Source organism: Homo sapiens, chromosome 3 (assembly GCF_000001405.40).
Source record: "Homo sapiens chromosome 3, GRCh38.p14 Primary Assembly".
Lineage (NCBI taxonomy): Eukaryota > Metazoa > Chordata > Mammalia > Primates > Hominidae > Homo > Homo sapiens.
Window position 1 is genome coordinate 89202631 of NC_000003.12, and position 16785 is coordinate 89219415.

Sequence of the window (16785 nt, forward strand, 5' to 3'; positions counted from 1 at the left end):
TAATATGTCCATGTAAAATTGAATAAAACTGCAATTATAAGGGCGTTTTCAAAAATCACAAATCACCACAGAAAATCACAGTAGAATGCTATCAAACTACAGCAAACTATAAAAATAGTAGCATGTCTAAAATCAATTGTCTTCTTCATACCAGTATAAATATGTGATTGAAAGTTATTTCCCCACACACTGTTTGCATGTTTTTGTAATACACCTACCTGTTTTGTCAGGTGTTCTACCACCAGATGTGAAATAGAACACTGTGAGGATTTACTTGGTTTGTTATAATATCTTATCATTCCTTGTAGGAGGTAGAAGATGAGGTTATTCAGGTGAGCTTCTGTGTAAGGCATGCCTAGGCCCTGGCAAATCTGGAGTGAAAAACCAGATGGGATAAGGGCTGAACATGAGACCATGCTACAGAGACAGGGGAAGGACGACATTTTAGACGCAGTTTCTAAGGAGACTCAGAATTCACGGAAGCTGATATTGGAGCATCCTATCAGTTCAGGTAGAGTGCAGACGTTAAAAGTCCAGTTGGCCAAGGGATATATAGCATTAGTTCTCAGTGTTGGGGGTTAGAATGTTAGAATCACCTAGGTTTTTTTGGTTTTGTTTTTGTTGTTGTTGTTTTTTTTTTATCTGGGAAGCAGTATTTTAAAAAAGCTTCCTGGTTCCCTGCTTAGCCGGAATTAAAAAAAAAACAAAACAAAACAAAACAAAAAAAAAATTACATAAAGGAATTAAACAGACTTAAAGGTATGAGACATTTGTCCAAAGGTGCGGTATCATTGCAACAGACCTGAGATCTCAGTACAGTAACCCTGAATCCCAGCTGGGAGAAAAATAACTTAAAGCTCCGGCTGGGCGCGGTGGCTCAAGCCTGTAAACCTAGCACTTTGGGAGGCCGAGGCGGGCAGATCACGCGGTCAGGAGATCGAGACCATCCTGGCTAGCACGGTGAAACCCCGTCTCTACTAAAAAAAAATACAAAAAATCAGCCGGGCGCAGTGGCGGGCGCCTGCAGTCCCAGCTACTCGGGAGGCTGAGGCAGGAGAATGGCGTGAACCTGGGAGGCGCAGCTTGCAGTGAGCCGAGATCGCGCCACTGCACTCCAGCCTGGGCAACAGAGCGAGACTCTGTCTCAAAAAAATAAATAAATAAAATAAAATAAAAATATTAAGAAAAAAACCTTAAAGCTCCTAGAAGAGTGGAGCTGAGGCTACTTCAGGTCTTCTCTCAGTCTAGGGGTATTAAGGAACTAGAAGACAGAGAAGAAAAACACAGACATCTATGAGCCCAGCTGCGAGGTTGCTGGGTAAAGCGGAGACAGAAGGGACAACATACTCAAACTTTCTGGAGACATTGTGCCTTTAATAGCCTGTATCTTGTTAAAACCACAGAAAGTACTGAGGTATGCCCAATATTGGTGAGAATTCTAAGCAGGGATCTTACATGATTCTGTTCCTAGCTCTTCTCACTCTCTAAAATACTTTGTTGGCTTTCCTCATAATAATTCTGATTCTTTTACATTTGTCTTTGTTTCCCAGATCTTTTCAGTATACTGTGCCAAACTGTGGATATTGGCTTTTCTATATTCCATAAGGCAATTCTAATACCATTACCAAATTTCTGCTGAAAACTTAGGGGCTAAAGGTGGTTGGGTATGAATAGTAGCCATTATAATTAAGATAACTGTCCACATCTTCCCACATATGCCCTTTTCGGTCATATTTGTCTTCGGATCCTGTCCCACATCTTGTTAATCATAGGGATTTTCCAACATCAAATCTCCATCTTCTGTCTTCCTGACTCCTCGGCCACAAATGTAATTCTCTGATTTGACACACCACACACACACACACACACACACACACCCCAAACAAAAAAACAATTCTATTCCTCATTTGTCTCAACTATTTGACATTACTCTGATCTTTTTATAATATACCTTTAGAAATATATATCTGTGTGTAAATGTGTGTGTGTGTGTGTGTGTGTGTGTGTACTTTTGAGACCAGAATGGGCTAAGGAAAACTACTTATGAATAAATAGAAATATAATGATTTTTGTAGATATATTTGTGCGTGACACTTGACAGTGACAGCCTTGCTGTAAGAGATTCTGCATGCATGCTTAAAATGCTGCTGCCTGGTAAATGCCCAAATACTTCCAGGACGAAGACTGGATTTTGAAATGGCTATGAGTGTACAAGGGGAAATAAACATAAGAATAAAAAACGTGAGTGGAGAAAGGAATAACATGAACCGACTTAATATCACTTAAAATTACTGGGTGCAAGATTAATCATCATCAGCATTTTGTAAAGCGCAGAAATTGGTGTTTCTTATAAACCATTGAAATGCAAAAATAATGTAAATGTAACAATATTGCTGATGCATTTCCCTTATATTGTCATCCACAAATTTCTTAGAAACTGGTTTTAAGTCTTAAAAGGTAAATCATGACTATCTTGCAATCTTAATATTTTCCAAATTATATTAGCTTGTGCACTAAATTTATTGCAGCTTCTGTTTCTCTTAAAGGAAGTGTAAACTTCCTCCTCACCTTACTACCCCTTGTTAGCAAATAAATAAAAATGTTTTCTATGAAAGTAATTAATATCAACAATAAATATAAATTCTTAATTACCATAATGATGATATACTAGCATAATAGTTATTAGGTAAATGCCAGTTAATTATTAAAATATATGTTTCCCTCAAAAATATATGTTTGATTCAGTGACAAGGAACTGTGCTATCTAGAAAATATAAACTAAGAGCCTCCTTAGTATCTTATACTACCTTTGATGATGGAGAGGTTTGGTGTGGTTATTTTCAGAATGGACTGTCCAGTGGGAGAAAGTTTGGATGCATAGGTTTCTTATACTTGAAATGATCCAGAGAAAGATGAAAATACAAGGAACCCTATGTGGTCTAATAATTAAAGCTTAAAGTCAAAATCTGGAAGCTAGGCTAAATATCAGAATTGTTTATTTTAATGAGTTAGAGGTTGAAAAAGTATTTTGAGCTCCTCTTTTGTTTGTATCCCCTTCTGCTGAAGCTGTTACTGGTGGATACCAATCACAGAGATTTCTTGAAAGCATTAAGAAAATGAAGAGAAAGATGCTTTTCACCACCAAATTCTATGTTACCATTGCTATGTCTCCCTTTTTTTTTTCATCTCTGCCTTGAGACAATTTCTTTAGCAGGATAGAATCTCTGATAAAATATAATGATAATATATAATGAATATTATACATTAGTTCTTACAGTAGAAAAATGAATGAAACATGGGCATTCTTTACATTTACAAAGCATGAGCATTATAACAGCAGCTTTAATTAATGATTTTTTCTTGTTGCTGCTGCTATGAGAAAATATTCATTTAAGAATTTTATTTCTACTGTCTTTAGTCCTCAGCAAATGCTAGAGTTAGAGACTTGTTGTTTTCGCAAGTGGTCTGAGATGGCACATCACCATCCCTTACAAGCAATTTGGCCTTCATTACAAATTAATGAAGTGATAATTGCTCCTTGCAACCTTTTATGTGCAAAGAATGCTGGTTCTGTTTGCATTATCTTCTTGCAATGTACACCTCTGTTTTCAAGGACTTGTGGTATCTTGCCAAATGTTAAACTACACTGAGATCTCCATAATTAAAATCATATTTTACATCAAGTTATGAAAACCTCTACACAATATGTTCTGTTTGATGTCCAGTAAAATGCTGTTCATTGCAGAATAAATTTGCAAATGATTCATCAAAGTAACAATCTCATTTATTACTAAAAGGAAATCTTGACTTAAGAAATTTAAAGTCAATTGGTTTACATTCAAATAATATTGTCATGATCGAACTTTCTATAAGATGGTTATGGAAAGCATTTGTTCTCTAGAGTTTTTGCTACATCTGTACTTTAAAATGCCATTGTAGAACCAAGGTAATGTTACTAGAGAAGACTCTATAAAACACTAACTTTTAACACCAGAGATTTTTGGAGCACCAAGTCTGTTGACTGTTTTTTTATATTCAACATATACATTCATTTTGCTTTGAATGTGACTGTATTATTATAGGCACCTCAATGTAAAACCCTAAGAACTGAGACGCTCAGTTGCTCTTATCTTCTTAAAAACTCAGTATATTACATACATATAGAGTGGATGCATGAAAATTGTATATTGGCAATTATTACAAATATAATGTGAATATTTTCTTTCCTTAAACTGAGGTTAGAATGTATCTTGTATATTACTTCTGAGATCTTCTAAAATAGTCTCAACTTGTTTCGTTGTTGAATCTCGGATGTGACAATGAAGCTAGGTCAATTTTGCCTCCAGAAAATGAGTGCCTATCTTGTATTTTAGATCCTGAACGATCAAGGTTTTTAAAATAAATAGTGCTGTTAACTTGTTTTGTTTGTAAGTTAATAGGTGAGCTATGAAGAACTAGAAGTTTTTAAACTGTGATTGTCACAACAGTAAAGTTCACAAATTGTTTTTTATAATTTAAGAATTTAGTATAAAAAAATTTCCCCTAATGAGGCTTAAAGGCCAAATAAATGTCATGTTCCTTTGTTTGTAATTACCGACAATTTAATAAATTAATATTTTATTTTATTTTGTGATTAGAAGGTGTGAATTAAAATTTCTGTGTCTTTAAAGATGGCAACAATAAAAACTAGGGACTGCTGAAGGAGAAAAGGAGGGAGGCAACAAGAATTGAAAAACTAACTGTTGTGTACTATGCTCACAACCTGGGTGAGAGGATCAATCATACTCAAAACTTGACCTCATGCGATGGACCAATGTAGCAAACCTGTACATGGCCCAAACTGGGAAAATATTCGTACAGATGAATTTTAGGCAGTAGTATTTTTTATTCTTTTTTTAAACAAACAAACAAAGCAAAAAACACACAAGAAAATCATAACATAGTGTCAATAGAAATAGAAAAAACTGTTAATGCATTTTATATGCTGTTGATTTAGTTAAAAGTGTTTAATGTCTATTGTTCTTGATGAAAATTATTAATGCTTTATTGGAGAAAAATGTAGGAACACATTTATAATGGGCTTCACAAGGGTTTTATTCATAAATTTAACTACAATATTTAAATATATTTAAATATTTTCTCTAAGAAAAACGTTTTGTTGTATTCCCATGAATAACTCTTACTTATAAGAAAAATAATATTTGTGCATATGCCAAAAGGTGAAGTTTTGTGCTCCATACTACAGTGAATATGAAGAGACCTGCCTAAAATTTAGCAAATGCCTATGAAACAAAATTAAACTAACTTTAGCATGTATCATGAATTAAATTTACAAATGAATAGGGGATTCAATAAGGGTTCTATAATACAGAAATTTTCTTAAGATTGTCAGGGTTATGGAAGGCATAAGGCAGAAGAATGCACAGTCCCATGGGGTTATACCGTAAGAAAGGCATATTCCAGATGGGCACAGTGGCTCATGCCTATAATCCCAGCACTTTGGGAGGCCAGGGCAGGTGGATCACGAGGCCAGGAGTTCAAGATCACTGGCCAACATGGAGAAACCCCATCTCTACTAAAAATATCAAAATTAGCCAGTTGTGGTGTTGGGGGCCTATAATCCCAGCTATTCAGGAGGCTGAGGCAGGAGAATTGCTTTAACCCAGGAGGTGAAGATTGCAGTGAGCTGAGATCGTGCCATTGCACTCTAGCCTGGGCGACAGGAGCAAGACTCTGTGAAAAAAAAAAAAAAAGAAAAGAAAGAAAGAAAAGGAAGGAAGGAAGGAAGGAAGGAAGAAAGAAAGAAAGAAAGAAAGAAAGAAAGAAAGAAAGAAAGAAAGAAAGAAAGAAAGAGAAAAAGAAAGGAGGGAGGGAGGGAAGAAAGGAAGGAAGGGAAAGAAAGAAAGAAAAAAAGAAAGAGAAAGAAAGAAAGATAAAAAGAAAGAGAAAGAAAGAAAGAAAGGGAAGGAAGGAAGGAAAGAAGGAAGGAAGGAAGGGAAGATTCCACAAGTTCCACAAGAAAAGAATAAAGGACAGAATATCCACCACATCTTTCGTAAACAATAAAAGAGTTTACATTGACAATAATATAATATGTGGAAATATTACTTATCTCGATTCAAACACTTAGAAAAATTAACATGTGGTTTAGGACCAGTTTTAAGAGGAACACAAATGTGAAATTCAAGAGTTAGAAAGTTTTTGCGTAAGTAACAGAGATCCCTAGAAAACTTTACATTCAAGAATGGCATGACAAAAGATGTAGTTTCCTGCAAGAAGTAAGCAAAATGGGGCATAAGAGGAAAGTATGGACACAGAGATAACAGAAACAACTGGTCTAATAGTTTTAGGATCATAAGTAACACACACTTACGATGCTAAGTTAAAAGCTTCTCAAAATTTGTCCTAAGGATCACAGAAAATAGTGCTTCACTGTTCTCAAAAGTCTGAATGCTTTTAAAGGTTTTTACAGTGATAAAAGTTGTTCTAAGATAACCTTAACTGCTATAACAACAAAACCCCAAATATCTATCTATTTCTTGACTAAGAAAAGATCCAATGTGGGTGCAAAAGGCTTTAAGAATCGAATGTTTGCCATGTCTTCTGTTTTTCACACATAACTTGGTTTTATATTTGGCGGGAAGCTGTGGGGTGAGGAACATTTCTATTTTTACTTCAAATTTTTTTTTCATAGTTCTGCAACACATGTCCATTGAAATGACAGTACATTAAAAAATGTCATGCATGATGATACATAGTAAAAATATCATTTATATTCACTTTATTTTACCTTATATCAATTTTACCAAAAACCTGGCACAAATTGGGAAAAGATTAATAAGCATGAATTTTAGGCAGTATTATTAATTTTTTCTTTTTTAAACTGAGAAAAACACCCAAAAACATATGAGAAAATAATATTATAGTGTCATTGGAGACAACTGATTTGAGGTTTTGATCCTGGAATGTTTGATTAGGCTCTATTAACTGCTAAGTGTCTTTTTCCTGAATATTCAACAAACTGTAACGCAATTGAAATGTGTTCATCAAAATTATAAATTACTTTATGTCCATTAACTCAGAGAACCTTGCAAATAAAAACTACAAACAAGAATGTTTTTAATGAGTAAATGATGATTTATTATATAGAGATGGCTCTGACACCCTTATGTTGTATTCGTTATTATCATTAATTCTGCCTCACTCTCTGTTTCTCTTTGATTCTTCAGTGGGAAGAGATCAGTGGTGTGGATGAACATTACACACCCATCAGGACTTACCAGGTGTGCAATGTCATGGACCACAGTCAAAACAATTGGCTGAGAACAAACTGGGTCCCCAGGAACTCAGCTCAGAAGATTTATGTGGAGCTCAAGTTCACTCTACGAGACTGCAATAGCATTCCATTGGTTTTAGGAACTTGCAAGGAGACATTCAACCTGTACTACATGGAGTCTGATGATGATCATGGGGTGAAATTTCGAGAGCATCAGTTTACAAAGATTGACACCATTGCAGCTGATGAAAGTTTCACTCAAATGGATCTTGGGGACCGTATTCTGAAGCTCAACACTGAGATTAGAGAAGTAGGTCCTGTCAACAAGAAGGGATTTTATTTGGCATTTCAAGATGTTGGTGCTTGTGTTGCCTTGGTGTCTGTGAGAGTATACTTCAAAAAGTGCCCATTTACAGTGAAGAATCTGGCTATGTTTCCAGACACGGTACCCATGGACTCCCAGTCCCTGGTGGAGGTTAGAGGGTCTTGTGTCAACAATTCTAAGGAGGAAGATCCTCCAAGGATGTACTGCAGTACAGAAGGCGAATGGCTTGTACCCATTGGCAAGTGTTCCTGCAATGCTGGCTATGAAGAAAGAGGTTTTATGTGCCAAGGTAAGAGCCTTCTCTATTTTTCTTTGAGCAATATTTCTCACCTATGAGTTTATCATAGTGTCATTAAATGAAATGCACTCAGTCTCAACTCACTTGGCAGGAAAACATGCCTCAAACTGACCATAGTCTATTTATGGACTAAAATTAATTCCATTTGATGTGGTAATTCATGCTTTGCTGTAGAAATATTAATGTATTTGATTATACAGTGCTGGCCTGCACCCTGTAATAGGTGTTATACATGCTATATTTAAGTTTTTCTGCTGTTTAATAACTAAGGTAATCTAATTCTAGACCACCTGGAAGAAAAACATTCTATCTCTTTTATGTAGAAAGTTGAGAAATCTTTAGCACTCAGCTAACCTAATTCTAACAGAATTAGATACTGTGGTGGTTATTTATGCTGGTGCTCATCTATCTCATAGCAATATTTACTTCATTGCTATAAAGTACAGTCTTTTCTTCACTGACATCTGGGTATCAAATACATGTTTACTTACAAGAGATTAGTGCTTTTAGAAGATTATTTGATTTAAAAATCCAGAGCTGATGCTTCAGTGTTTAATGTATACAGGCATGATTTTTAAGTGTCTTTTGCACCATGATTTGGCTCGTTTTAGTGCTCAAAAATTATTTGTATCATCCGTTAGGCTTGAATGCATATTTGATATTAATATAATATCACAGAACTAGAACTCTTTAATCAAATTAATATTTATTAAAATCGCTTTATATTTTAAGTGGAATCAATTAAAATATCATTTTATATAAAATTATGTATATCAGCTGTGCTATATCATATCATAATTTCACTTAATCCCAAAATTTACTTAGCATTAGGCAAGGTTTTATGCTTAAGAACACACTAAAATTGTTACTCAAATTTTAAATAAATAAATATATAGGAGAAGTTAAGTATATTGTCCTTGAAATTTTGTCCATTTTAATGCCCTTGCTTGCTGTTACACTCTGTCAAGTCTGGTGTTCTACTCCTGATCGCATAATCAGTCACTTTTCTCAAATGCAAGTGGAATAAATGAGACTACTTTGCATATAAATTGTCCTCTTTAAATCTGGACAGAACATAATATTTTGCTTTTGACTGTAGACATGGTTCACAGAATAAATTCCTCTTCCTCTTCCTCTTCCTCCTCCTCCTCCTCTCTCTCCTCCCCCTCCCCCTCTTCCTCTTCCTCTTCTTCTTTTTCTTCTTCTTCTTCTCCTTCTTCTTCTTCTTCTTCTTCTTCTTCTTCTTCTTCTTCTTCTTCTTCTTCTTCTTCTTCTTCTTCTTCTTCTTCTCCTTCTCCTCCTCCTCCTCTTTCTTTTGGCTAGGTAGGATAGGAAAAAAGAAAGCTAAGAATAGTAAATGGTAAATTTTTCTCTTTCAATGACTGTTTAGAGAGAGAAAATAAAGGAGGGTAGAAAGAAATATTGGCGACTAAAGAACGATTTAAGAATCGCATGCCAAACAAACTCCAAGAAGCACCAGGAAGGTAAAGAGTACTTATTACAATAAATTTGGTGAAATAGAAATGCATATAAAAATAACTATGCAAGCTTAAACTGATAAGGAGTGGTATAAAAATTAGTAAGGAAGGTAAGAAAATATGTGTCATACCGTTTACTAGGAATTTATCTAATATATTTTAAAATATGACTTTTATTTAAATACATTATCTCTCATATTTGATGAAAGAGAAGGATACTGTAATATATTTTCTTTAATTTACCATGTATATAACTTAAAATTTATTTGGACCATGTTTCTGGGATCTGGGCAGACTTGCTGGATTTTGACAGCATGGTCAAATGGCAGGTGGGGTTGTTTTTTTGGGGAGGATGTTCATAAACCTCCTTTTAAAAGGGTAACACTGAAAAATTAAAATTATAAAGTGACATACTAAAACTGAGTCATCTGGCATTCACTTTCAAGCATTGACAATATTTTACTTGATTTTTTCATTTGGATATTTCATATTTTTTAGATCCCAGCATAACTCTTCTTACTGGTTTTCTCTTTTTAAGATTGGAAGTGTGGGAAAATTTTGTATTAATACCAAGGAAACATCATGATTTTTTTTTTTTGTTCTTTTTAATCCAGCCTAATGAATTATGTTATCTGTTTTGGTTTAGTTTGGAGGGGAGAGATGAGGACGCTAATGGCTTTTTATATAGTCAGTTAATTACATTTGAGCCAGATAGCAGAAGGTTACTATAAATATTCCTTCTCATATAAACTTTGTTTAGACTTAGTGTACCAAATACCTTATTAATGTCACTGAAGAATTTGTTGCTCTGTGCTTTATCTCTGCACATTCATTGTGGAATGCTAACTTTATTCCTTCTTCTTTTACATTAGCAGCTAAATAGAAAAGTGTGTTTGATGTGATGTATGAAGACACCTAGACTTTTTGATGACTATCCAAAATTATATTTGTTTTACTTCTGACTTAGGATACCAGTTCTTACTCTCCACTCATTTCTCTGTTAATTCAGAAACTCTTAAAACAGCTGCCAAAGTTTCAATAACAGGATAATTTTAAGACTCTGCTTGCTCTGACAGAGGCGCTAGAGAAAATTGAAAACCTTAGTATATTCTTCACACCTACTAAGTCTGTGTGCACAATCAGAAGGCACCCTCTGGAACTGCAAGGTGCTCATGAGTGTGAATGAACTCAGAAGCATTCCTTTCTAGTTGTTTTTTGCCTGGAAGTTCCTTAAGGGGAGACACCAGAAATGTCTTTTCTTAGAAACATCTTGCTTAGAACATAGCAGAATCTAATTGAGTAGGTTCTCAAGTAGATACCTATAGGATGTGTAATTACTGTGAGATTTCTATATTTCTATACCAACTATCCATTCTTAGAATAGAGGTCCTGAAGAGAATAGACTTTACATTATTTATCTTTGATTCCACTACGCCTTTCAGAATGCATTGCAAATAAAGATGTTAATTTTATCTAATTTGAAATAAACATATTTGATTATTAGGTCACATACAGTTGCAGCCAGGCAATAATAGATTCATCTGACTTCTCGTTAGAATAACGAATAGATGATGAAGTAAAGGAATAACAAATATTTTTACGGTACCAAAGATCATACTTTTTTCTTTTATGAATTTATGATGCATATTATCTTTCTGCTTTAAAATAATCAATTGTTTCTAGATTAATACCTGTAATAAAGCAACCGTCTAAACAATTTTTGTAGATGCTGAAATAAATGTGGCATTTTTGTCCCTTAAATTTACTGATCTAGTGCTTAAAGCATTGGCTCACCTCGTAAAGACTACCCTATAATTATCGAGATTCTTACCTTCGGTTATGAAAAATTTCCTTTCTCTGAGGTTAAAATGACAGCTGTCTATTTCCTCTTTGCCTTTAGCAGTTATACATCCATTGTTTTTCCAACCAATGAATTTATTTAAATAAAAAGTATGGCACTGATAAGTAATAAGATAAATAACTTTAATATAACAAATTAAACAGATACATTATAGCTTTATAATAGCTATCAAGCCTCTGATTTATACAAGATTCTATGTCTTCTCATCAATTTATGTACATGAGCCTAATGCCAAAAAAATTTCTGCACTTGTCTTCAAATTACAGTTTGCATTTAATTGTTCTATTTAGCCAAAAGCTCTTGTCACTAACAAGTGTTTGAGGGCTTGGGCTTAGGAGTCCTAGGAATGCAGCTTATTAATTTTGTGGCTAAACATTTTGAGCCTTAGTTTCTTCATCCACAAAAGGGATGGGCTTCAAAATGGCCAGTGGATGTATTGCTTAGTCCACTGCACAATATACAGCACTAGACACAAGGTATTTGAACGTCATTATTTTCAGTCATCAGAATCCCTGAAATGTGTTACCTTCCTTGTTTTCTTGTTTCAATACATTTTAGAACATTTAGATATGATGAAATCACCCATTCAACAGCTTACCTTAGACCTTAGACATATTTTAAGAGATAAAACATGTATTTAATGAATGTATATATTTGTGTATTCATTATTTATTCATTGATTGCCCACCTTCTTCCAAACAAGGATCCAAAAGGATTGTGCTTTTCTAAAGAGACATTTTTTTTGTTCAATTAAACCTCTAGTCTATTAAACCATGGGTGATATTTCCTCCATTATCTTATTGTTAAGTGTTATTTTTCTTCCAAACAGCAGTCACGCTTGATTTTTCCCATCTGGTATTGGACTCAGTCTCTTTTTTTTCATAGTATGAATCTTCCCACTGATTTTTCCAAAGTGCCTTGAGTTTATAAATGCACATTTTTATATTGTATATTCAGAAAGACTTTTAGGTTTTAACTGGTTTGATTTAAGAAAGCATGATTTAGGAAATAAGCAAACAACTGCAATGCAAAAATAAAATTAAAATGCTACATCTCAAAAATGTTAAGCCTAGGTTTTGTTCATATTGTGTTTGTGTCCTAACATTCCTTCTATAAAAGACGAGTTTAGTTAGTTGGAAAGGATATACCAATAAATAATGCCCTTGCCTTGAAAGAATCATGTGAATCAAAAATAAGTAAGCAACTAAGAAAAAGAAAAATATATCTGTTGAAACATTTCACCTGACTCTGGATAGAGCTAACTTATCTATTTACTTTGCTTTAGGTAGTTATTATGTATACTTAAGAATGGCCCAAATACTATAAAGGCAGTGGAGAAGCAGTATAAGTTGTTTGAAGTATATGTCAAATGTGCTTACACGAATTATTATTATGTGATATTACTGGAAATCTGTGATCAAATTATGTGAGTGCACTATCTAAAAAGTAGTTAAAGTAAAAACTTATTTTTTAATATGAAAAGTGAGAGAAAGCAAGGGAATATATTTGGTTTGTGACTTCTTAAATATTGTAGCTCATTTTTGAGTCTCTATAAAAACAATATAAATTTAAACCATGGATTTGCAAGTTTAGGAAAATAGAAATGTGAATTCTTTGTTCTGTATATACTGCAAATCAGATTATTTTGAACACTCAGACACAATGTAATTGCAAACATGTTTAGGAGAAATATGTCTGTGGTTAAATTTAGGGAGTAGAGCAAATTCATATCTAAGCATTTGAATACCTCGTAATGAATAAGTTAAATGATCAGCAATGAACCACTATAACAGGCCTTAAAAATCACAAGAAGTTCCATAAATGTTAGTAACATTCTTACGCAGGATTACAATTAAATAAGACTTACAGTGTTTTAGTAAAATATGAACTGTTTTACCTTATGTGGGTTAACTTTAGTAATATAATCTCACCAATTCTGTTCAGAGGGAAAAAATCTTAAAACACATTTTCTCTTTAAATAGGCATTTCACTCTACTTAATCCCAACCTAAAAGATGATTTTATAGGTCATTATTAAAGTATACTTCTAAAGCTCTAATTTAACTCACAGGCATTCCTTATCAAATGGCTGTGGGGTATCTGCTTTATAGTATCAAGTTCTTTTCATTAAATTATTATTCTTACACTAAGTTCTTTGGGCTTTTAGATGCTTTGACTGGTCTAGTGTTTCAAATGTGCAAATAGTAATTTAGGTAATATCTATATGCCAAGTGTATAATCTTTGGGAAACATAAATAATGTGTCCATTAAGCAGTTTATTTGTTTGAGAGACTATGGTAATGTATGGGTTAATCTTCCCAGGACAGTATTCACTATGAGCATCTGAGGCATCAGAAAATAATTTTGGTTGCAGAAAAAAAGTAGCTCTCATTTTACTTGAAAGGGGTTGTTTCCATCATTTCATTTTCAGTTTTCTGTCCAAAGGAAGATAGAACATTGCTTTGTAGACAACTCACTAAATATCTATTAAATGTAAACTTACCTGTAAAGTGATTGAAATTGTCCAAGAAAAAGACATATCTAAACTTCTTTTTTCTGTGAAGGGTGGGATATTGGTTATTGTGAATATGTAAAAATTATAGTTCTCCTATCATCTTAATGAATATTATCTTGTCAGCTAGCTCGTGAATCTGCCATCATAATTTACTGTCAAGGCTGGTTGGACCCTAAAGAAAGTCTTGAAATTCCTTTTCTTTAACTTAAGGTGTTTTATATGGATGACCTTCCTTAGCTCTGATTTGCTGCGTGCCACTTTGTTAAACAACTTCTGTTAAAGCATACATGTTATATAATTTATGGCTTTTGTAAAGAACATTCATCTTCACTTCAAACTTATCCTTTTTACTCTAACTATTCAGATACTATAAAAGCTTCTGTGTTTTCAACTTTCAAGATGCAATGTAACCATGTTTTTCAGAATACATGTAATGATTCCAGAGAATGATTATTGATATTTCATTAACTTTTCCAGCTAATGTTTCATTTTCTTTAGTCAACTTCTTCCAGCGTAAGGAGAATAAAACCCTATGCAAAATAAACTGAGAACTAGATCTTTTTTTCCCTCCTGATGGACTTAGATTCTGTGAAATATACTGGTAATAGTTTCACAAAGATTGCTTTGTCAATGCAGATTCATTGAACACTTTCCACCTTTTTTTCCTGTGATTTCTCCACCCCTTTCACTTCTGTCTGTGTTTAGAGTTTTGACAATCCCTTATTAGTTCCAGAGTAGAACTTATGAGAGCTAATAAGGGTTTACATTACAGCTCTGACAGCTGGCACTAAAGTTTAATAGAGAGCAATTGTAAAGAAGTATAAGTGTTGATAATATTTGATGAAAGTGCTCTTAAAGAAAGAGCCTTTTGGAAATAATCACATAACTAGAAAAGCTGCATATATGCTCTTTTTTTGTAGCTTCTCATCTTCCAGTATGCGGACAAAACATCCTGTTGGCAGATGACTCTGTAATTGCTTATGGATGCCTTTTCTAGGAACAGAATCCAGGGTCGTTAAAAAAACAAAAACAAAAACAAAAAAAAACTCTAAACTTTGGTCATATTCTTACCGCTATTTCTATAAATCTCTGAAATTCATGTTAACTGTCCTTTAGAAACACAATCATAACGTGGACATCTAATCGCAGATTCATTCTGTGAGAAGAGACCCCAGGGATTCCAAAGGCGAGTCATTGAGATCATGAAACCCATAAACCCCACATAATCCACCACAGACTTTTTGTATTATTAAAAATAAACAAATAAAAAGCAAGAATGGCTTCAAATATAGAAAGACCCTGAGTGTAAAATATTTCTGAATTCTCTATTCAATGGTCAGTTGCAATGCCACAAAAGGTTAAAAGAAAATGCTGCAATTGAAAACAGCTGTGGCTTTTTTAACATGAAGACTAACTTTCAACAAAGAGAAAGTATATGCTATGAGATGAAGGAATACCTGAATTTATTGTGCACCAGGAACATGTAAAGTTTTATGAAACTGAGAAGTGAATCTGAATATATAAATAATTGGTAAGGAACATTTTTGCTTCTCTGATAGTTACTGGAGAGGAAAATTTGTATTTCAGAGATTTAGATTCATTTACTGTTTATCTCATACTTCTACATTGAATATAAAATATTTCAATCCATCTATCATCATGCATAAATGTTTTATGGCATACAGAATTGATTCATGTATTGAATTGGGGGGAAGGAGGATATAGTTCTGGCTGTAAAGCATCTTGGATTTTATTATTATTATTATTATTATTATGCTTTAAGTTTTAGGGTACATGTGCACAACGTGCAGGTTTGTTACATATGTACACATGTGCCATGTTGGTGTGCTGCACCCATTATCTCCTCATTTGGCATTAGGTATATCTCCTAATGCTATCCCTCCCCCCTCCCCCCACCCCACAACAGTCCCTGGTGTGTGATGTTCCCCTTCCTGTGTCCATGTGTTCTCGTTGTTCAATTCCCACCTATGAGTGAGAACATGTTTGGTTTTCTTGTCCTTGCGATAGTTTGCTGAGAATGATGGTTTCCAGCTTCATCCATGTCCTTACAAAGGACCTGAACTCACCATTTTTTATGGCTGCATAGTATTCCATGGTGTATATGTGCCACATTTTCTTAATCCAGTCTATCATTGTTGGACATTTGGGTTGGTTCCAAGTCTTTGCTATTGTGAATAGTGCCACAATAAACATACGTTTGCATGTGTCTTTATAGCAGCATGATTTATAATCCTTTGGGTATATAACCAGTAACGGGATTGCTGGGTCAAATGGTATTTCTAGTTCTAGAAGAAGACATTTATGCAGCCAAAAAAATATGAAAAAATGCTCATCATCATTGGCCATCAGAGAAATGCAAATCAAAACTGCAATGAGATACCATCTCTCACCAGTTAGAATAGCAATCATTAAAAAGTCAGGAAACAACAGGTGCTGGAGAGGATGTGGAGAAATAGGAACACTTTTACACTGTTGGTGGGACTGTAAACTAGTTCAACCATTGTGGAAGTCGGTGTGGCGATTCCTCAGGGATCTAGAACTAGAAGCATCTTGGATTCTAAAGGAGATATGAACTGAATCTATCTTAAAAGGAGGCAAGTATCCTATTCATAAGGAAAAACATGGTCTGGTAAGCATGAAAGACAAATGTTGTTTAGAGACTCATAATCTGCTTCTAAAGTGTCATCAAAGAGTTAAAGAGTTAAGGTTTCAATCTCCATGGAGTTTAATATTTCATCATTTACCCATTTTTTCACAACAACATTTTTTTTTTTTTCGAGATGGAGTTTTGCTCTTGTTGCCCAGGTTAAAGTGCAGTGGCAGGATCTCGGCTCACCGCAACCTCCACCTCCCAGGTTCAAGTGATTCTCCTGCCTCAGCCTCCTGAGTAGCTGGGATTACAGGCATGTGCCACCCTGCTCAGATAATTTTGTGTTTTTAGTAGAGATGGGGTTTCTCCATGTTGGTCAGGCTGGTCTCAAACTCTCCACCTCAGGTGATCTGCCTGCCTTG

The 16785-nt window shown here is 34.3% G+C and overlaps 1 protein-coding gene across 5 annotated transcripts in view; it reads left to right on the top strand.

Annotated features, from left to right (window-relative positions):
* The window catches only part of EPHA3 (EPH receptor A3), a 374514-nt gene that overhangs the window by 95010 nt on the left and 262719 nt on the right, over positions 1-16785 (top strand). For all 5 annotated transcript variants that reach the window (NM_005233.6, NM_001410778.1, XM_005264715.4 and 2 more), the window contains exon 3: positions 7230-7890. In NM_005233.6, coding sequence (NP_005224.2) covers positions 7230-7890 — 661 coding nt within the window. The remainder of the gene's footprint in view (positions 1-7229; positions 7891-16785) is intronic.